The 21,799-nt window shown below is 41.2% G+C and overlaps 2 protein-coding genes and 1 long non-coding RNA gene across 7 annotated transcripts in view, besides 3 other annotated features; 2 read left to right on the plus strand and 1 right to left on the minus strand.

Moving 5' to 3' along the window:
- Nucleotides 1-15,466, plus strand: ZNF224 (zinc finger protein 224). 2 transcript variants are annotated; one of them, NM_001321645.3, is made up of 6 exons: nt 1-170; nt 1,983-2,071; nt 3,446-3,528; nt 6,441-6,567; nt 6,773-6,865; nt 12,036-15,466. In NM_001321645.3, the coding sequence occupies exons 3-6, from the start codon at nt 3,514-3,516 to the stop codon at nt 13,922-13,924; spliced, it is 2,124 nt and encodes a 707-aa protein (NP_001308574.1). In that variant the 5' UTR covers nt 1-170; nt 1,983-2,071; nt 3,446-3,513; the 3' UTR covers nt 13,925-15,466. The 2 variants fall into 2 exon arrangements, with proteins under 2 accessions (NP_001308574.1, NP_037530.2); NM_013398.5 differs by having other exon boundaries at nt 1-128.
- ZNF225-AS1 (ZNF225 and ZNF224 antisense RNA 1) lies at nt 10,979-18,823 on the minus strand. Its single transcript, NR_033341.1, has 2 exons — nt 18,462-18,823; nt 10,979-13,977 (listed from the first exon to the last, which is right to left on the minus strand). It is a non-coding gene; the product is annotated as a ZNF225 and ZNF224 antisense RNA 1 (long non-coding RNA).
- ZNF225 (zinc finger protein 225) overlaps nt 17,065-21,799 on the plus strand; it is a 23,398-nt gene continuing 18,663 nt past the window's right edge. The window contains exons 1-3 of one of the 4 annotated variants that reach the window (NM_001321685.2): nt 19,039-19,209; nt 19,689-19,853; nt 21,400-21,482. In NM_001321685.2, the coding sequence (NP_001308614.1) occupies nt 21,468-21,482 (15 nt within the window). In that variant the 5' untranslated portion in view covers nt 19,039-19,209; nt 19,689-19,853; nt 21,400-21,467. Of the gene's footprint in view, nt 17,938-19,038; nt 19,243-19,688; nt 19,854-21,399; nt 21,483-21,799 lie in introns of those variants that run through there. The other 3 variants (XM_011527286.3, XM_011527285.3, NM_013362.4) reach the window with 3 other exon arrangements.
- Nucleotides 18,750-19,100: a silencer, noted in NCBI's record as "fragment chr19:44617263-44617613 (GRCh37/hg19 assembly coordinates)". NCBI's record gives its function as "represses an EF-1alpha promoter that drives an FKBP-Casp9 reporter gene in an ReSE screen in phorbol 12-myristate 13-acetate-treated (for megakaryocytic differentiation) K562 erythroleukemia cells {active_cell/tissue: K562(+PMA)}" and the evidence as "EXISTENCE:reporter gene assay evidence [ECO:0000049][PMID:32094911]".
- Nucleotides 18,750-19,492: a biological region, named in NCBI's record as "ReSE screen-validated silencer GRCh37_chr19:44617263-44617613".
- Nucleotides 18,793-19,492: an enhancer, noted in NCBI's record as "active region_14753". NCBI's record gives its function as "activates an Ori minimal core promoter by ATAC-STARR-seq in GM12878 lymphoblastoid cells {active_cell/tissue: GM12878}" and the evidence as "EXISTENCE:reporter gene assay evidence [ECO:0000049][PMID:35858748]".

Here is a 21,799-nt window from a genome sequence, read left to right on the forward strand (position 1 = left end):
GGAGTCGCGGACACTTCCGCTCGGGGACTGAGGTTGCTGCAGTTTTTCCGCGATAGTTTGGGGCAGTTCCGCGCGTTGCAGGCCCTTCTGAATTTCCTGGACCTACGCATTGGATCCTCAAAGAACTGGTGATCGAATTAGGGGAAAAGGGGCCTCGTCGGAGAGTAGAGGTTTGGAGGGGCAAGGGCCGCTGTTTGCGTTCTCGTCCGTGGCACCTTCTTGGGCTTGGGTCTGTCCTCGCTTCCCGGGGGCATTGGTACTTGGTTGGGTCGCGTCTCACCTGGTTTCAGGGTTTCCGGGGCTCTGAGCTCGCCCACTCCGCCCCCTGCACCCCACGCGCGTGGCCACTTCTTCTCGATATAACGTTGGGGTGTTAATCTCCTTGGGTTTCCCGTTACTGTTCTTTAAAATGGGGACTTTAGGGCCATCCTAATGGAATCGTTTTGGGAACTGGAAGAGGTAACACAAATGAGAGCCTTAAAGCAGTCCCTGTCACTTGGTGACTGGTGGTCTCTTGTTAATTTCCCACGAAGGACCGGGTGGGGTCAGAGCTCCAGCTGCAGGGGCCTCGGCCCTTCTCCCTGATCCCTGCAGGACGCTGGATGATCCCGGAAGCCTTCTGACCTCTTTTTAGGAGAGCGAGGGTTGCGTCCACTTTCATGAAGGGAAAGGAGCATTTAACTTTTATGGGGGACGGCGACGCGGTCAAGGTGTTTCACAGCTTTCTCGTTCCCCAACCCGACCTTTCCAGAAGAGCTGCAGGGAGGGACTTCTTGGCTTCTGAGGGCAAAGCTCTACGTGAGTGGTCCTTGGCTCTTTGACCGAGATGCTCACCCCAACCGAGAGTGTATAGGTTGTGTCCTCGGGCATGGGGGTCGATAATAATTAAGTCTTAATTAGTAACTTCATTCTAAGGGCTTTATACAAATAAATTTACGCCACACCGTGGCTCTGTGGAGAAGTATTGCTTTTTTCTATTTTAAAAACGAAAGTGAGACACAGAGCGCATAGGCACCCGACTAGTGAGAGGTGGAGCTGGGGTTGGAACCTAAGCAGTCTGGGTCAGAGCCTGATTTGATCTTCTCTTGGGATACGTTGTCACTGAGGCAGAGGAACTAGTTGGACTTAGGTGGGGAAAGCAAGACTTAGGGGCTTGAAATTTTCTGAGTTTCTAAAAATGTTGTCAACTATTTTGTTTCAATCATTACAAATATTTTGTATTCTTATAGAACCATGTCATTGTACAGCATTCTATTTTTCTTTATTAAGAACAAAATGGGCCTGGCGCGGTGGCTTACGCCTGTAATCCCAGCACTTTGGGAGGTCCAGGCGGGCGGATCACGAGGTCAGGAGTTCGAGACCAGCCTGGCCAACATGGTGAAACCGCATCTCTACTAAAAAATAATTACAAAAATTAGCTGGGCGTGGTGGTGGGCGCCTGTAATCCCATCTACTCGGGAGGGTGAGGCAGGAGAATCGTTTGAATCTGGGAGGCGGAGGTTGCAGTGAGCGGAGATCTGCCATTGCACTCCAGTCTGGGCGACAGTGCGAGACTCCGTCTCAAAAAAAAAAAAAAAAGAACAAAATGTTTTTATTACCTACGAATCCATGAAGTAAAGGTAGCAACTGTTAAGCTCGTAATGTGTTTCTTTCTTTTTGTATATTTATAGGTTTATTTATGAACATTTACAAATTTTTATAATTTTTTTCTTAATATTTCCCCCTTATGTGTTTAACTATGGAAATTTCCAAATGCTGACAGACTAAACTAGTGAATTATCATGTTATATCATACTCATTAATCTCATTATTGTTATTATTTTTCCTATGACTGTTTCCTAAAATTATAAAACTTTTTATTTTCATGTCATTTGAAACCTATAGAAAAGTTGCAAAAGTAGCCTAAGAAATTCTTATTTACTCTTTACCCACGTTTGCCAAGTGTTTACATTTTTCCTGTTTGTTTTGTTGATGACCATCAGCTGAATACCACTAGAAACATACCTGTAACCAGAGACAGCTGATTATAGCTTTCTGCAGCAAGGAAGCCCACGTACCAGGGGCTGTCTTGGTAAGTAGAATTTAGGAAGACCTAGTATATGGTTTCACATAACATATTAGATAATTTCAGATTGTATACCAGATAATGTTATTTATTAAATATTAGATATCTATCCAAAGACTGCTAATAGTAGTTTATTGTATTATCTATTATACAGTGCTAGATAACATATTACCTAACTTCATGTTATGTACTCTGCAGTTCTATATTTAAATTTGTTCTATTTTTCACTTAAGGTTCTTACAAGTGTCCCCTACCCATCTGCCACCACCACCTGTGTTCACAGTCTAATTTTATGCATTGCCTTTAATTGTCACATTTCCATAATCTTTAATCTTGAGGATTCTACACCCTTTGTCTTTCTATGCTTGATATTTTTGAAGAGTATAGGCAAGTTATTTTGGAGAAAGGCATTCATTTGGAGTTGTGTCTGATGTAATTCATGTGCGGGTTCACATTATGCATTGTTGGTAGGGATACCACAGAAGTGGTGAATTGCGGGTTCAGATTATGCATTGTTGGTAGGGATACCACAGAAGTGCTGAAATGTCCTTTTCATTGCAACATAACAGGGTCCAAGTGATGTCAGTTTGTCTCTTCATTGGTGATCTCAACCTTGTCCACTTGGCCGAGACGCTGTCTTTCAGATTTCTCCACTATAAAGTTACTTAAAAAAAATTGAAAAGAATAAAGTTTCTTAGGAATAGATAACATTATTAGTGGGCATTCAGCTGTAAAATGACCTTCTCCATTTATTCTTTGTTCAACTACAAATATTCTATCAATATGGCCTTAGAATTGACTCTTAAGTTAGATAACGTGTACATTAACAATTATTTTTTCCAACCTATTGTATCATATAACTTACTTATATCAGGTGTACATCCAGTGATCATTAGACAGTTTGCTGAATGGAGTAACCATCACCACAATTCGGTGATCATTTCATGCTCATATTGATTTCCTCCTGCCTACTTATGGTTAGACTTCATTCTCACTCAGATCTGAAGCAATCACTAATCAGTTTTCTCTATGCATTTTCCTACCCAGACATTTTATAGAAATGGAATCCTGCAATATGTGGTCTTTTTTAACTGGCTTCTTTCATTTAGCAATAATGTTTCAAAGGTTCATGTATGTTGTAGCATGAGTCAGTACTTCATTTCTTTAAATTTCCAAGTAAGATTCCATTGTATGGATAGACCATGATTTGTCTATTCATTTACCCACAGGAGGGCATTTTGGTTGTGCCGTTTTGGGTTTTTATGATTAATGCTGCTGTGAACAGTCATGTGCCAATTCACAATACACATCCCTGTTGGTGGGTGGCATCCCTGGCCACCTTTTCATGTCTCTTTTTCTGCCTTTCCTGGCACTTTGCAGGCACAATTCTGCTTTCCCAGGAACTGCATCACTCAGGACTCTGCAAGTTTCCAGAAGTAAGAGGGAAAATGACCACGTTCAAGGTGGGTAGGACTTGCTTCTATTACTCTTAAAATTCCCTCTCAGTACTTAAATTGTCACAAGTTTTCCTCTGTCTTGGGAAGACTCAAGGAGAAAAACAGACATTTGAGGATCTCTTGTGTACCATGTACTTCCTTTGTTACTTTTGAGTGGATTTTGCATTTGTTTTTACTACTTGTTTTCTTCTATCATTTATTCTATGGAGTAGACAAGATTGTAGGAATGGATAATTATTTCATTATACTACTTCTCTGCTCACACATTAGCTATTTTTATCCTGTGATACTCTTCCTCATGTGCATTCATAACTGTATTTGTATTGGTGATGTTAATCTAATTTAAATTGCACTCTTTGTATTTAATATTATATAATGTTCATTTTTAATGGTTGCACCATATTCCCATTTAATCGATGTTCCTTTTTAATTACTTTATACTTCCAGACACCAGGAACTCAGTTTTGAAAGGCTACTTTTGATGTGTGCCACGTTGGCTGTTTTGTAGATAGAGTATCCATATGTGGCACATCATGGCAGGCTGTAACTGTGGCTTCACACAAGGATTGCTGGAAGTTTCCACACAGGAAGAGCTAGATTCTCTTTCCCCCATGCCTGAGTCATGCCTTCTATGTCTTTTACTTACTGGCCTTTCTTTACTCCTTTATATACTAAGGAATTTGACCAAAGTAATATGTAAGCTAATTTTTTTTTTTTTGAGATGGAGTTTCACTCTTGTTGCCCAGGCTGGAGTGCAATGGTGCGATCTCGGCTCACTGCAGCCTCTGCCTCCCAGGTTCGAGGGATTCTCCTGTCTCAGCCTCCTGAGTGGCTGGGGTTACAGGCATGCGTCACCATGCCTAATTTTGTATTTTTAGTAGAGACAGGGTTTCTCCATGTTGGTCAGGCTGGTCTCGAACTCCCGACCTCAGGTGATCCACCTGCCTCGGCCTTCCAAAGTGCTGGAATTACAGGCGTGAGCCACCGCGCCCAGCCTAACCTAAATTTTTTGTGCATGATACTAGAAAATTTGCCAGTCACTTGTGTTTTGTTTCTTCATTTACTCCTCAGAACAGCTGAATGAGGCTGTTCTTATCTTCCTCTTAAACACATGAAATATGAGAAACCTGCTCAGGTTCAGACAGGAGACCAAGGGTCCAGAATATTAGTTATTTTAGCCTTTTTACTCAGTTGAAAGAGAGAGAAAAAGAAAGAGAGAATTCTCCATTGAGGGAACTGTGCCCTGTGGTGTGGGTGTCTGGAGTGTCCTGTTGAGTGATGATGTCCACAGGTGGCATCGCTCCTCCCTGGACCTACCTTGGGAGGGGGGCATCTTCTCTTCCTGTCGTAGTACCTCTTCCATGGCCCCCAGCACTTCAGGCACCCAAGGACGGCAATTACCACAATTGTTATAGAACATTTTAAAATTCATTATGGGAAAAGATGCCTTACACAAACCAGAAAATGTAACAGTCTAAGGTGAAAATATTTACCATTTGGATATCTAAAACAAGATACAATCCAAAATAAGAATCTTATGCCCAGACCAGGGAAGAAAATCCAAAGAAATACAAATAAAGGACATTACCAGGAATGTATAGAAGGAGAAAAACAGATGTCAATAAATATTTGAAAAGATGGTGGTATTCATTTATAATCAAATAAGTGAGAATAATAAAACAAAATCATGGCCAGGCCTGTGACTCACACCTATAATCCTGGCACTTTAGGAGGCTTAGGAAGGAGGATTGTTTGAAACCAGGAGCTCAAGACCATCCTGGGAAACATAGCAAGACTCTATCTCTACAAAAAGAAAAAAAAGAAAAAAACAATTTCTTCCTAATCAGATTACCAAAGTAATGGGAAAATTGATAACTTGCTTTTGGCTATGTTAAGAAAAACCAGAATAATGTATCCCCTTGAAAGATTTTGAAGTTAGGTAAAAAAAAAAATTGAGAAAACATGACATAATCATAATATTAAATTTCTGACATTTTGTTATTTAAAACTTACTTTAAATAGGAGAGTAAGATCTACCTGAAATGTTCTTTATTGGATTGGTAATCATGGAAAAGATATAAAATTAAATATTCATTATTTAGAATAACAATAGATTAGTTCCATGGAACACTATGCAGACATGAGATAAAATCGACAATAATTGACAAAAATAAAAATAGCTAATGTTTATTAAGTATTCAGTCTTGCTACACACTTTTCCCCAGTAACATACGTATATTCCACTGTTTAATTTGAAAACTATATCATGTGACGATCATTATATAGAGAGGAAAGTAATGCATTCAGGCCAACTTGTCCAAGGTCACATGACTGGGAAGGGACAGAGCCTTATATATGCGCTCTGAGGCACGCTGGCTGCAGATCATGACATTCAGTGTTGCAATTAATGTATGTAGTTTTTGCCTGGAGAGTATAGAGGACTCACTGCATAACTACTCAAACATGTCACCATAAGCTTGTCAGTTTGGCAAATGTTGAAGAAAAACAATAACATCCAGGGTTCGAGTTTGAGAGAGGAAGACAATGGGCATTATCAAACAAAGTCAGGACTGAATTGCTAAATGTTGCTGAGGGTGATTGTCAAGATTTATCAAAACATATATATGTGTAGCCCAGGATGCCACATTTAGAGTCCTAGAGGGTTACTTACAAGAAGACTCAATGATTGCACGAAGTAAAAATACAGGAAGTCTTTTTCATCTTTGTGTTTCTGGTGGAACTCAGGGAAATCAGTCATTGTCAGGATACAGACAGAATGAGTAGGAAATCTACGAGTTGACCTATGTCTCTCAAGATCCAAAACAACTTCCCACCCCTCCCCTCTGTCTGCTCAGTGCCACCCCTCTCCCAGGAATCATTGGTCATGAGACTGAGATTGCATATGTTTGATGCTATAGGAGGCAATGACCTTCAAGGACGTGGCTGTGGTCTTCACTGAGGAAGAGCTGGGGCTGCTGGACCTTGCTCAGAGGAAGCTGTATCGAGATGTGATGCTGGAGAACTTCAGGAACCTGCTCTCAGTGGGTGAGGACAGGCACCCTCTGTAACAGAACGTCAGGCCCCAGAGGTGGCTTTGTATCCTAGGGTACAAAGTTTCAAGTCTTAATTAGTAACTTGAACCTATGGTTCAAGTTTGAGTGTGCAGTAAGAACCTAAATTTCTGGTAAACTTTACCTTGATATTACCTAGAATGTGTTGGGATTAAGCATGTAAGTTTGCCTGTTTGCAGGACATCAAGCATTCCACAGGGATACTTTCCACTTCCTAAGGGAAGAAAAGATTTGGATGATGAAGACAGCAATCCAAAGGGAAGGGAATTCAGGTAAGAATCAAGCAACTGTGAATCCCTGTATGTCTCTTCCACCTGTTTCACTTCTGTCCATGCTCAAATCCATTGCCCTGGCCTAAATGGCCAAACCTCTTTCTTGGATTATTGACAACCATCTTACACCTGGTGGCCCTGCCACCCGCCTTCACATCCTGACATCTGTTCTCATAGCAGCCAAAGTGATCCTTAGGAAATGTAAGTCAGATTGCCATTCCTCAGCTCAAAAGCCTGTTTGGCTTATTTTTATTAAAGTTACAACCTCTTTAATTGACTTTTAGAGACCCTGTGATCTGCTCTTCATCCCCTCCCTGCCACCTCTCTAACTACATCTCCTGTCCTCTCCTTCTTGCTCTGTCTTTACCAGCCACTTTATTCTCCCTGCTGTTTCTCTGTCCTCCCAAGGGCACTGTGTTGCCTTTTGCTGGTACCCAGTGACCACAGACTGAGCAGACTGAGAGACAAACATTTATTATTTTTGTGTTCTTTAGGGATGAAGTCTGATACATCTCACTGGGCAATTATCAAGTTGTCTGTAGGGCTTCATGTTTTCTGGATGCTCTTGGGGAGAAGCCTTTACTTTAGTTTATCAGTGTCTAGGCACTGTCCATACTCCTTGGCTCTTGCTTCCCTTCCTCCATCTTCAAAGGCAGCAACTTGCATCCCCATAGTCATGCTCCCTCTGCCACTCTTCTTATGCCTTCCTCTTTCACCTTTTGGGTCCCTTGTAATTGTTTTGATCACTCCTGGATAATCCAGGATGATCTTTCTGTTCTCTGGTTAACTGACTAGCAACCTTAATTGCATCTACAACCTCTGTTCCCCTGCTGTATAACAACGTGATCATAAGTCCTGGGGACTGGATGTGGACATCTTTTAGGAACCATTATTCTGTCTCTACAGAAGCTTCTGTCTCAGCCCTTACTTGCTCATCTCAGTCACTGGGATACTCTGTCACCTCAAAACCTTCTGGCATCTCCTTCAGTTATTCAAGTTTCTTTTCAGTTTTAAAGTCATGAGAGAAGCCATCCTAAACCACTCTCTTTATAATTCCATTCTATTTTGATTCTTCTTGTGCTCTCTTGTACCAAGTCTCACATACTTCTGTTTATCTGTCACTTCTACATGCTGGACTATAATGTCTAAGGAATTTTAACTCTTCGTGGCTGTATTTTCAGTGCCTAGAATGGTCCTGGTACATGGCAGGTTTCCAAATTTTTGTTAACCTGATATATGAGCTAATGAATGGGGTGACTTCACTGTCTCCTGAAATTATGGAGAGAACTAATAAGTGAAACACAAACTACGGTGAAAGAGAGATATTGCAGAACATGTTTTTTGTCTTCCAATGGCCATGTATTTAATTACAATGTTCTTAGATTCCGTTATTTGATTGCCTTGTGTGTTTACGGTGGACCCACATCCCATGGAAACTTCTAAGCATTCTATTTATTACCATACTGAGCTATATGCCTTCCATATGACTTATCCTGGAGCTTTTCATAGGAAGCATATTCATTTCTGGAAAGAAATCATTTTTGAATGAACATTCTGATGTCTACTAGTGAGACAGCTCTTCTACAAGGGGAAAAAATTCTCCATTTTGTGATGTGTCAGATAATAACCAGCTTCCCAGCTAGCTTTCCTTTGAGAGATTTACCCATCTGCAGCCCATTTGCCTTTCCAAAGTCTGCATGCACGTCACTGACCCCAGGTTTCTTCTTCTCCTGGGTGGGGAAGAATGAGGAAGAGAGCAACACAATTCATGCAGCTAAACATTGCCTATATTTCTGGTCATCTTTGTTCAAAAATATGTATATTTCTGCACCTTCATTGTATACAGATTTAATTGTTAAAAACATAAAAGAATACAGATTTTACAACATAATTTTTCCTTTATTTTTTAGAGACCTAGTGCTCTATTTTCAACTTTATAACTTGGAAGGAATCAGGAAACTGCCCTCTCAAAATACTGACATCCTGAAAGAGACTCTCTCTTCTCCCCAAAAACCTCTTAAGTAACAGTGTGTTAAATATATCCATATTCCAGCGTGTACCATTGGGTACATATTTACCTATTACTGTTTTTCCAAGATTCAACCTTGGAAGTTAACTTTCCATTTGACTGACTTAATTTAGGACTTGGTAATATCCTGACCAAAGTTGTCAACATTTTTATGATTGTGAGTCATAGTAAGAAACACATCTTTCACCATAACCAGGACAAACATTTTTCATGCATGTAGATGTCTATGGGTTACTTCAGTAGGCATTTCATGAAATGATACCTTTCTTGCTTGTCATGAAGATGTGATCATTTCTTTTCTAGTTCTTTTTTTCTAAATGCTCATTAGAAGGTTTTAAATTTATTTTATAGCTCACTTTTTGTCTATATTCTTCCATTTGGAAATAAGTATAAAGGAGTATTTATCTATATCATATATTTTCTGCCCTCTTTTTTCTTCTTTTTTTATTTTTTTGAGACAGGGTCTCACTCTGTCACCCATGCTGGAGAGCATTGGCATGATCTCAGCTCACAGCAACCTCTGCCTCCTGAGTTCACATGATTCTCATACCTCGGCCTCCCACGTAGCTGGGATTATAGGTGTGCACCACCACACCTGGCTAATTTTTGTATTTTTAGTAGAGACAGGGTTTCACCATGTTAATCAGGCTGGTCACCAACTCCTGGGCTCAAGCAATCTGCCCGCCTTGGCCTCTCAAAGTGCTGAGATTACAGACATGAGCCACTGTGCCTAGCCTCTGGTCTTTTTTATTTTAATGAGAGTCTAATATCCCCACATGGAACCAACCCAGGGCATGACCCCTCAGGCATTCTTTTTATCCCAAGTGTTCTCACCACCTTTCATTGTCTCATCAGGAGCATCACCCTTTCTTTACCCCTGTCAGGTCCAACCTTTCAGATTCCCATCAAAACTGGTTGTCTGTTTCTTACCTATCTCAGTTAACCAAATTATTGTTCACATCTACAGAAAAATAAAATTAAAGATACATGTTATGCCAAATTCTTGTGTAGGAATATTATGAATATGTAGATATAAACACTCCTAGGCCTTTGATATTATTGTGAAGAGTTTAACTGGCTGCACAGTTTAGAGCAAGAGTTTACAGAAGATCGCTCTCACTTCACACCAACTGCAAGTGTGGGGATTTCCCAAAACTACCTTCACATTCAGTAATTACCTAGAAAGATAAGCAGAACTCACTGAATGCTTTTATACTAAAAGTTACGGATATTTACAGGGTAGAGATGCACATTACATTTCACCAAGAGAAAAATAAGAAACAGTTCTGGGAAGTACCAAATGAGGATCTTGTATTGTATTCTCCCCATAGAGTAGGATGCGTTAAATTCCCAGAATTAAGGTGTGACGTAGAGGGTACAGCGAATCAGGGAAGCTCACCTGAGCCCTGTATTTTTTTTTTTTTTGAGACGGAGTCTCGCTCTGTCACCCAGGCTGGAGTGCAGTGGCGCAATCTCAGCTCACTGCAAGCTCCAACTCCTGGGTTCTTGCCATTCTCCTGCCTCAGCCTCCCGAGTAGCTGGGACTACAGGCGCCCGCCACCATGTCTGGCTAATTTTTTTGTATTTTTAGTAGAGATGGTGTTTCACCATGTTAGCCAGGATGGTCTCGATCTCCTGACCTCGTGATCTGCCCGCTTCGGCCTCCCGAAGTGCTGGGATTACAGGCGTGAGCCACCGCGCCCAGCCGAGCCCTGGTTTTACAAGTAATTTTTGAGGCTCCATTACATAGCCATTATTTGTTGATTGATTCCCATGTGGCTAGTCAGTCTCCTGGGCCACTGATTCCATGTAACCTAAAGCCTCACCTTAAATCACGTTGCTCTTTGTGACATAGGGGGCACCGACCCCCAAAGGCGTGGCCAGCTACAACCCTAAATCATATTGTTTCACTTTCCAGTGACCTAGTTTTACTCTCAAGCAAACAAAGACACTCTCCTCAGGCATAAACTCCTAGACATTACCTCTCAGATCCTGAGGAAAACATCTAGACCTCATTTTGAGTAAGGTTAATATCTTTACTTTGTAAGGATACACAATATAAACACAAATGTACCAAGTCTTGATTATATTACTTTTGTTTAAAATTGGTTTTGATTCATATTTTATTATATACACAATTTATTAGCTTCATAATTTACCATGCAAGATTTTAGACTGATTAGGAAATTCACTAGGAAGAGTAGCAGGTATAATGTTTGTATCATATTAATTTTATTATTGTCTTTTATTTTTATTAAAAATTTTATTTCAGTAGTCTTTTTTTATTAAAGTATATACTGGTTTTTGGTTACATGGTTGAATTGTCTAATGGTGAAGTCTGAGATTTTAGTGTACCCATCACCTGAGTAGTGTACATTGTACCCAACTTGTAGCTTTTTATCCCTTACCCTACCTTCCACCCTCCCCATTTTGAGTCTCCATAGTCCATTATATCACTCTGTATGCCTTTGCATACCCATAGCTTAACTCCCACTTATAAGTGAAAACACGGTATTTGGTTTTCCATTCCTGAGTTACTTCACTTAGAATAATAGCCTCCAGCTCCATCCAAGTTGCTGCAAAAGACATTATTTCATTTTTTTATGGCTGAATAGTATTCCCTGGTGAATATATACCATATTTTCTTTATCCACTCATTGGTTGATGGGCACTTAGGTTGGTTCCATATCTTTGAAATTGTGAATTGTGCTGTAATAAATATAGGCATGCAGGTGTCCTTTTGATGTAAGGACTTCTTTTCCTTTGGGTAGATAGTAGTGGGATTGCTGGATCAAATGGTAGATCCACTTTTAGTTCTTTAGAGAATCTCCATACTGTATTTCATAGAGGTTGTACTAATTTACATTCACACCAGCAGCAGTGTATAAGCGTTTCTTCTCACCACACCCATGTCAACATCTATTGTTTTTCGTCTTTTATTTCTATCAAGTATTTTACATATGATACTTGGTTTAGTTCGAAATTGGCCTCATCCAAACCAAAGATTATGGTGCACTTGAAAAATACAAACTGAATGTTGTCTATACTCATGAGAGTTTCCTGCCATGGCCTAAGTGAAATCTTGATAACACTGAACAAAGGCTTCACTTGTCCTCATCTTTTAATTCTGTATTCTGATAGGAGACAAGATCCAAACTGAGATGGAGACTGTTTCAGAAGCAGGAACACATCAAGAGTGGTCCTTCCAGCAAATCTGGGAAAAAATTGCAAGTGATTTAACCAGGTCTCAAGACTTGATGATAAATAGCTCTCAGTTCTCCAAAGAAGGTGATTTCCCCTGCCAGACTGAGGCAGGACTATCTGTAATTCACACAAGACAGAAATCTTCCCAGGGCAATGGATATAAACCATCCTTCAGTGATGTCTCCCACTTTGATTTTCATCAACAATTACACTCAGGAGAGAAATCTCATACGTGTGATGAGTGTGGAAAGAACTTTTGTTACATCTCAGCCCTTCGTATTCATCAGAGAGTCCACATGGGAGAGAAATGCTATAAGTGTGACGTGTGTGGTAAGGAATTCAGTCAGAGTTCACATCTGCAAACTCATCAGAGAGTCCACACTGGAGAGAAACCGTTCAAATGTGTGGAATGTGGGAAAGGCTTCAGTCGTAGATCAGCACTTAATGTTCATCATAAATTACACACAGGAGAGAAACCTTATAATTGTGAGGAATGCGGGAAGGCCTTCATTCACGATTCCCAGCTTCAAGAACATCAGAGAATCCATACGGGGGAGAAGCCATTCAAATGTGATATATGTGGTAAGAGCTTCTGTGGTAGATCAAGACTTAATAGGCATTCCATGGTTCACACGGCAGAGAAACCATTCCGATGTGATACGTGTGATAAGAGCTTTCGTCAGAGATCAGCACTTAATAGTCATCGCATGATCCACACAGGAGAGAAACCATACAAATGTGAGGAGTGTGGAAAAGGCTTTATTTGTAGGCGAGATCTTTATACGCATCATATGGTCCACACGGGAGAAAAGCCATATAATTGTAAAGAGTGTGGGAAGAGCTTCAGATGGGCCTCGTGTCTTTTGAAACATCAGCGAGTCCACAGTGGAGAAAAACCATTCAAATGTGAAGAATGTGGGAAAGGATTTTACACAAATTCACAATGCTATTCCCACCAGAGATCCCATAGTGGAGAAAAACCATACAAATGTGTGGAGTGTGGGAAGGGCTACAAAAGGAGGTTGGATCTTGACTTTCACCAGCGCGTCCATACAGGAGAGAAACTGTATAATTGTAAGGAATGTGGGAAGAGCTTTAGTCGGGCCCCATGTCTTTTGAAACATGAGAGACTCCACAGTGGAGAAAAACCATTCCAATGTGAAGAGTGTGGGAAGAGATTTACTCAAAATTCACATCTTCATTCCCATCAGAGAGTTCACACTGGAGAAAAGCCATACAAATGTGAGAAGTGTGGAAAGGGCTACAATAGTAAGTTTAATCTTGATATGCACCAGAAGGTCCACACAGGAGAGAGACCATACAATTGTAAGGAATGTGGGAAGAGTTTTGGCTGGGCCTCGTGTCTTTTGAAACATCAGAGACTGCACAGTGGAGAAAAACCATTCAAATGTGAAGAGTGTGGGAAAAGATTTACTCAGAATTCACAGCTTCATTCTCATCAAAGAGTGCACACTGGAGAAAAGCCATACAAATGTGATGAGTGTGGGAAGGGCTTCAGCTGGTCCTCAACTCGTCTGACCCATCAGAGACGCCACAGCAGAGAAACACCTCTCAAATGTGAGCAGCATGGGAAGAACATTGTACAGAATTCATTCTCTAAAGTGCAAGAAAAAGTTCACAGTGTAGAAAAGCCATACAAATGTGAGGACTGTGGGAAGGGCTACAACAGGCGCTTGAATCTTGATATGCATCAGAGGGTCCACATGGGAGAGAAAACATGGAAGTGTAGGGAGTGTGATATGTGCTTTAGTCAGGCCTCAAGCCTTCGACTTCATCAGAATGTTCATGTTGGAGAAAAACCTTAGTGATGTGATGGTGCAATAAAGTCTTCACTCAGTCTTCATGAATGCAGTCTCATCTGAAAGTTCACAAAGGAGAGACACATTAAAATATGAGGCACATAGTAAGCACTTCCCTTTGAGTATTTTATCTCTGAATCCATGCTGGTGATAAATTTCACCCATTCTTGGAAGAGGGAAAACATTTGTTTAAGATAACATCAGTGCTTCAGCCATAGCTCAGCATGCCCCAGTAGTCTCAGGACCACCATAATGGAGAATCCTTGTAAATGGTGCAATAAAGCTTCATTCAGAAGTTTGATAATTACAGCTATCATTCAGGAGACAGGCCTTAGAAAGAGTAAGAGTTCATGAATTTACCAGACTAATGGTGGACATGTCCAAATTGATGTCCACTAGAATGTAAACTACATGTGTCTTTGCTGCTAAGTCGTCACAGCCTTAACATTGATTAGCACTTTGTATGTGTTCAGTACTTGTTTGTTAAATCAATGAAAGGATAAAACATATGTATGGATTTGGATACAATTTTGTGTATCCAAAAAGGGAAGCCTGCAAAAAATAATTCTGGGAAACATGAGTTGAAATGCAGAGTAAACTCAGTACTGCAATCCATAGCAATATTTTGCATATTATTATTTTTTCTTTTAAATTTTTTTCTTGATCAGATTTATCATATTCATTGAACATTATTTTATTGCACTTGGCTCCTGGCTTCCCCCCATCCTGTGCTCTGAAGTCAGAGTATTATTTGTGGCTCTATGAAATGTCCATTGCTTGTATACGGTATAAATTTAATTATCTTTTGTAGTTTTTCTCACAGTATAGACTGAAAAGGTTTGGTTAATTTTGCAATAACAGACCACTGCATATTTCACAATTAAGTGTTTTCAACAGTATTAAGGCAAGATTTACAGTAACACTTTTAAAGTGCCAGATGTACATTGACAGAAATTTTCTTAGTCAATCCTAGATTGATCATGATTTGTGATTTCTATGCAGGCCTTGGTATGATTGCCTTTTAATTGCTGTACAATTTCTTTTTTTTTTTTAACTTCTCTGGTATAAAATATTCTAAATTTGAATGACAGCTTTTGTCAACCTTCTTATCCAATATTCTTCCACCAACGCTATGAAACAGGAAGAGAAAATGGAGTTTGGTAATTTCATCAAATATATTCATTATTGGGGGCAGGAGTAACATTTAAATCCTCCTCTTTATTGCTGGCAGTAAAAATATGTCTTTTGGAGAGCAGAACATGCCAGAATGTATAAGGTGCAACTGTTTGATATGAAAACCATAGGATAGGAAACTATGCCTATGACACTAAAACTCCAAAAAGTAGAAGACCACATTGATGATGTCACTGCATTTTAAAATGGAAAGAACAAGTGTTCAAGAACAGGAATTTGTGTGAATTGCATTTATTCCTATAATAATATGAACTCAATGAGATGATGACATAGACACAATAACAAAAGGAGAAAAACAATGTGGCTTTTTTTAGCCTTCATAACCTAATCAAATAAATATCTTTGTGTGTTTTATGTTCTTTTGAGTGTTTACATACTGTGTAAATGAATATTTTTACTGATCTTTGCTGGCAATGAGTGTTTGCAGGCATTTTTCCATTTTATACTTCCATGCATTTTTAATTTTTTTATGCCACGATCTTTTAAACAACCAGCTCTTGTGTGAATTAAGAGTGCGAACTCATTCATTACCATGGTGGGGACACCAATGTTTATGAAGGATCTGCTTCCATGACCAAGCACCTTCCAATAGTCCCGACCTCCAACACTGGAGGTCATACTTCAACATGAGATTTGGAGGGGATACATATTCAAACTATTGTCAGATGTTAATTCATCAGGTATACACCATAGTAATATCTTAAGTGTGTTAAGTTAAAGTGATATATTTTCTAAGGTATAGAACAAATAGGGCTTATCACCCCCCTACAAGCAAAGAAAATGTCACAATGCTTAGTGTGCCATTTTTGATATTGGATGCAACTTATTGTTTCGATTGTGCTACTCTGACTTTTATGAGTGACCCAAAAACTTTGACTTGTCCCAGACAAGAGAAGTTTGTGTAATATGTCCCAGCTTCCACGTAAGCTTCTCTGCCACTAAAACCCTGTGACCCCGGGGGTCCAAAAGTGTTTGAAATGTCCGTGGCAGATAGTATGTTTGAAGCCTATGGTTGGCCCTAATTGGAGAATCAAAATTCAGATGCTTAGTATTTTGAAGCAAATTTCTGCCATCCTCTGCATATACTTACTCTCCTCTGGAGAAGAAGCTTTTCATTTTGCTAGGGTGTTTTGTTTTGTTTTGTTTTTGTTTTTGTTTTTTGAGACGAGTCTTGCTCTGTGGCCCAAGCTAGAGTGCAGTGGTGCAATCTTGGCTCACTGCAACCTCTGCCTCCCGGTTTCAAGCGATTCTCCTGCCTCAGCCTCCCGAGTAGCTAGGATTGCAGGTGCCCCGCCACCGCACCCGGCTGATTTTTGTATTTTTAGTAGAGACGGGGTTTCACCATCTTGGCCAGGCTGGCCTCAAACTCCTGACCTCGTGATCCACCCGCCTTGGCCTCCCAAAGTGCTGGGATTACAGGTGTGAGCCACCACGCCCGGCCACTAGGGGTCTTAAAACGGACAGAACACTTGACCACAGACCACCAAATTAACATGTGACTTATGCTTTCCATCATGAATCGGGTGTTGACCCCTGCACCTTTTTAAGTTACATGTGCAGATTAGTATTCCATTTGGAAGTGGTATATATGAGATTGTGTTTGTGCAGGCTCTGAAGCCACAGGTAAGTGCACCTAATATTCATCTCCCTACTCTTGCTGTATTCAGAATGAGTGAATATAAAGAGAAGTCATCTGAAATTATTGTGTCTCAGCAGCAGAAAGAAGTGGAATACACGGTTGGACGCGGTGGCTCACGCCTGTGATCCCAGCATTTTGGGAGGCCGAGGCGGGTGAATCACCTGAGGTCGGGAGTTTGAGACCAGCCTGACCAGCATGGAGAAACCCCCTCTCTACTAAAAATACAAAATTAGCCGGGCGTGGTGGCACATGCTTGTAATCCCAGCTACGCTGGAGGCTGAGGCAGGAGAATCGCTTGAACGCGGGAGGCGAAACTCCCTCTCAAAACAAAAAACAAACAAAAAACAACCAAAACTGAAAGCTGGTAATGAAACAAATACGTATACACGAACATTTGTAGCAACACTGTTCACTACAGCCAAAAGGTGAAAAGAAGCCAAATGTGCGTCAATGTATGAATGGAGAAACAAATTGTAGTATAAACATAAAATATTCATCTATGAAAAGGAATGAAGTACTGATACGTGGTATGATGTGAATAACATTAAAAATATTATGCTAAGCAAAGGGAGTTAGAAACAAAATGTTCCATTCATTTTTATGATTTGTCCAAAATAGGTAATAGAAAAGAGAGAAAGATTCATGTTTCCCCAGGAATGGGATTATGGACAACAGTAGTGATTGCTTAGTGGGCATGGGGTTTTCTTTGGGTGATAAAAATGTTTTGTAATTCAAGAGGTGGTGGTTTCACAATGAAGCAGCTACTTTGTCTGAGGTTTAAACCCGGGGTTCGTCGTTAAGCGCCAGAAAAATTTAGGACACGGACACACAAAAACTCCTCAGTTTAGGAGCGGAGGTTTAATAGGAAGAAGAGAAAGAGAAACGGGTTCCTCCATAGAGGAAGGGGTCTCCGAGCGGAAAAGGGTCGGCTGGCAGTGAATGTGCTGAGTTTTACAGACCAGTTTGAGGAGGCAGTGTCTGATTTACATAGGGGTCATAGATTGGTTCGATCAGTTATGACGTTTACATAGTGCGTGGGGAAGGCTGGTCGCCCCACCCTAATCTTCTTATGCAAATAGGCTTCCCAGTTGATTGGCCCATCTTGCCAGCTTCTTACTGTGCACGTGGCTGACAAAGAGAAGGGAAGATGGAGCCGCCATCTTTAACATGATTGGCACAACTGCTGGTATCTATGTCTGCGGCAGCTGGATTTTACAGGCTGCTCTTCCTTAGGAAGGGAAATAATTTGGGGCTGCTTTTCATTAAAAAGAAAAGCCTTACCGAGGGCTCCCATACCCTATCTGCCTAAGTGATGGCTTCTTAACTCGTATATATTAACAACACTGTATTCGTACTAGATGCCATTGCCATTGAATTATGTGCCTTAAAATAATTTTGTTTTGTGAATTACACCTCAAAAATATTTTTTAAATAATAAAACGACCACGTTAAAAACGTTTTGCATAGCGAAAAACAAGTCAAAGGAAAAAAGCTTTTTGGTTGAGCAATATTTGATACAATGTTAATATGAGTATGTAAATAATACTTAACGGAGGGGAAAAAACTAAACACTCAATAGAAATGTGGGCAAACTATTTGACCAATTCACAAAGACTATAATAGTGGCAACGGAAAATATGCACGGATGTTCCACTTTATTTACAAAAGAACAAATACAAATTAAAACTACATTTAGAAACCATTTCTTACCATTAGATTAGCAAAACTTAACTCCTCGAAGACTGTGTCTTCTCGCTTGTTCCCTTTCCAATAACACTCCTGTTATCATTGGAGGCGTTTAGACTTCAGAAATTCCTGTCTATTCAGTATTTTCTGTCCTGGACCAGGGAGAGAGAAGGACGACTCTCAGGATAACAGTTCACATTCCCCACTAGGCAGGCGCTCGTGGCTTTGGGATTCGTTCCCAGTGGGCACCTCGGAGTGGCAACGCTTCCCCCTGAAGAATGAGATTTTGAGCGTTTTTCCTTCAGCATTCGGAGGAGTGTAATCCAAATGCTCTGTGGAGTCGTACACACTGGCTCCAGAAGGAGGATACAAGCAATTCTGGGAATGGTAGTCCAGACGCTCAGTGGAGTAGCGGTCAGCTTGGCTCCGGCAGGCGAATCAGGGGATTTCTGGGAAATGTAGTCCAGACGCTCAGTGGAGTCTCGGTCAATTTGACTCCGGCAGGTGGATCCCAGGGAATTCTGGGAAGTGTAGTCCAGACGCTCGGGGTCGTCGCGGTCAGTTTGTCTCAGGAATTCTGGGAAGTGGAGTCCAGACACTCAGTGGAGTAGCGGGCCACTTCCGCTCCGTTACTGTGAGGTTGCTGCAGTTTTGTCCCTGGTAGTTTGGGTCAGTTCCGCGAGACCCTTCTGAATTTCCTGGACCTACGCATTGGATCCTTAACGAACTGGTGATCGAATTAGGGGAAAAGAAACCTCGTCGGAGAGCAGAGGTTTGGCGGAGCGGGGCCGCTGTTTTCGTTCTCGTCAGTGGAGCCTTCTTGGGCTTGGGGCTCTCCTCGCGTCCCCGGGGTGTTTGGGACTTGGTCGGGTCGCGTCTCGCCTGGTTTTAGGGTCTCCGGGGCTCTGAGCTCGCCCACTCGGCCTCCCTGCACCCCACGCGCGTGGCCACTTCCTCGCGATAAAACGCTGGGATGTTACTTAATCTCCTTGGGTCTCCCGTTACAGTTCTTTAAGATGGGGAGTTTAGGACCATCCTAATAGAATCGTTTTGGGAACTGAAAGCGGTAACACAAATGAGAGCCTTAAAGCAGCCCCTGTCACTTGGTGACTGGTGGTCTCTTGTTAATTTCCCACGAAGCCTGTCAGGTCCCCGGGTGGGGTGAAACTCCAGCTGCAGGGGCACCGGCCCTTCTCCCTGATTCCTGCAAGACGCTGGGTGATCCCGGACGCCTTCTGACCTCTCTTTTAGGAAGGCGAGGGTTGCATCCACTTCCAGGAGGGGAGAGGAGCATTTAACTTTTATGGGGCACGGCGACCACGGTCAGAGTGTTTCACAGCCTTCTCCTTACCCAGCCCGACCTTTCCAAAAGAGCTGCAGGGAGGGACTTCTTGGCTTCTGAGGGCAAAGCTCTACGTGAGTGATCCTTGGCTTTTTTCTTTGACAGAGATGCTCACCCCAACCGAGAGTGTATAGGATGTGTCTTCGGGCATGGGTGTTGCTTTCAGTTGTCATGTTTTTCTAGTCTTTAATCTTGAAAGATAGCATAGCTTTCATCGTTTTTTCTTGGTATTTTATCCTTGTTATTTTTGAAGAGTATAGATGAAGTTATTTTGGTCAAAGATGTTCATTTGGAGTTTTTCTGATGTATTTCACGTTTAACTTCAAAATATGCATTTTTTGCTGGAATACCACAGAAGTGGTAAATCTCTCTCTCTCTTTTTTTTTCTTGAGACGGAGTTTCGCTCTTGTCGCCCAGGCTGTAGTGCATGGCACGATCTCAGCTCATTGCAACATCCACCTCCTGGGTTCAAGCTATTCTCCTGCCTCAGCCTCCCAAGTAGCTGGGATTACAGGTGCCTGCCACCACATCCGGCTAATTTTTGTATTTTTAGTAGAGAAGGGATTTCACCATGTTGGCCAGGCTGGTCTCAGACTCCTGACCTCAGGTGATTCAACCGCCTTGGCCTCCCAAAGTGTGGGATTACAGGCATGAGCCACCGTGCCCAGCCTGAAGTGGTAAATTTCTTATTGCAACATAACAGGGGCCATATGTCAGTTTGTCACTTCATTGGTGATCTCAACTTTGTTCACTTGGCTAAAGTCATGTTTGTCAGATTTCCGCATTGTAAAATTATTTTGAATTTTTTTTTTTACCCCAGGAACACAGATTCAAGTTGCTCTCAATATACACTCCCTAATTTTTTAGTTAAATAAAATTTTGTAAGGAGAAATACATTTATTAGTGCACATTCTACTGTAAAGGTGAACTCTCCCTTCTCCTTCATTTGCTTATTCATTCATTCAACTATAAATATTCTATCAGTGTAGATCCAGAATCCAGTCTTATTAAGTTAAATGACATGTGGATGAACAATTACCAATGCTTTGTCCAACTTTATTGAGGTGTATTCTACATATCATAGAAACTACCCATTTCGTGTGTACACTTTAATGATTTTTAGGAACTTTGTGGAGTGGAATAAACATCACCATAATTCAGTTTAAATAATTTTCATCCCCCATTAAGCCTCCTTGTGCTCACTTATAGTTAATCCTCTTTGTCACCTCAAATATGCAGAGACCACCTATCTACTTTCTCGTTATATACACTTGCCTACTCTGGAATTTCATAGATATAGGATCATGCAATATGTGGGCCTTCCTATGTGACTGGCTTCTTTCACTTAGCATAATGTTTCCAAAGTTCATGCGTGTTGTAGCATGAATCAGTACTTCATTCCTTTTAATTTCCAAATAAGATTCCATTGTATGGATAGGCCACAATTTGTCTATCCATGTACGCATAGGAGGGAGTTTGTTGGTGTGCAGTTTTGGGTTACTATGAATGATGCTGTTGGGAACATTCATGTGTTAATTTACAATACACATTCGTGTTGGTGGATGGCATCCCTGGCCACACTTTCATGTCTCTTTTTCTGCCTTCCCTGGTACTTTCCAGGCAGGATTCTGCTTTCCCTTGGACTGTATCACTCAGGACTCTGAATATTCCCTGAAATAGGAGGAAAAATGACCACGTTGAAGGTGAGTAGAGCTTGCCTCTCTTGCTGTTAAAATTTCTTTTATGGAGACTTGTTCTGTCGCCAAGGCTGGAGTGCAGTGGCCTGATTTTGGCTCATTGCAACCTCCACCTCCGGAGTTCAAGTGATTCTCCTGCTTCAGCCTCCCAAGTAGCTGGGACTACAGGCACACACCACCACACCCAGAAAATTTTTGTATTTTTAGTAGAGACGGGGTTTCATCATCTTGGCCAGGCTGTTCTCAAACTCCTGACCTCAGGTGATCTGCCTGCCTTAGCCTCCCAAAGTGCTGGAATTGCAGATGTGAGCCACCGTGCCCGG

The sequence above is a fragment of the Homo sapiens genome, chromosome 19, assembly GCF_000001405.40.
Source record: "Homo sapiens chromosome 19, GRCh38.p14 Primary Assembly".
In the NCBI taxonomy this organism is placed as follows: domain Eukaryota; kingdom Metazoa; phylum Chordata; class Mammalia; order Primates; family Hominidae; genus Homo; species Homo sapiens.

Coding starts and splice junctions, on each gene's coding strand:
- ZNF224 (NM_001321645.3), top strand. Junction 6,568..6,772: donor CAGGAACCTGCTCTCAGTGG/GTGAGGACAGGC, acceptor GCCTGTTTGCAG/GACATCAAGCATTCCACAGG. Junction 6,866..12,035: donor CCAAAGGGAAGGGAATTCAG/GTAAGAATCAAG, acceptor GTATTCTGATAG/GAGACAAGATCCAAACTGAG.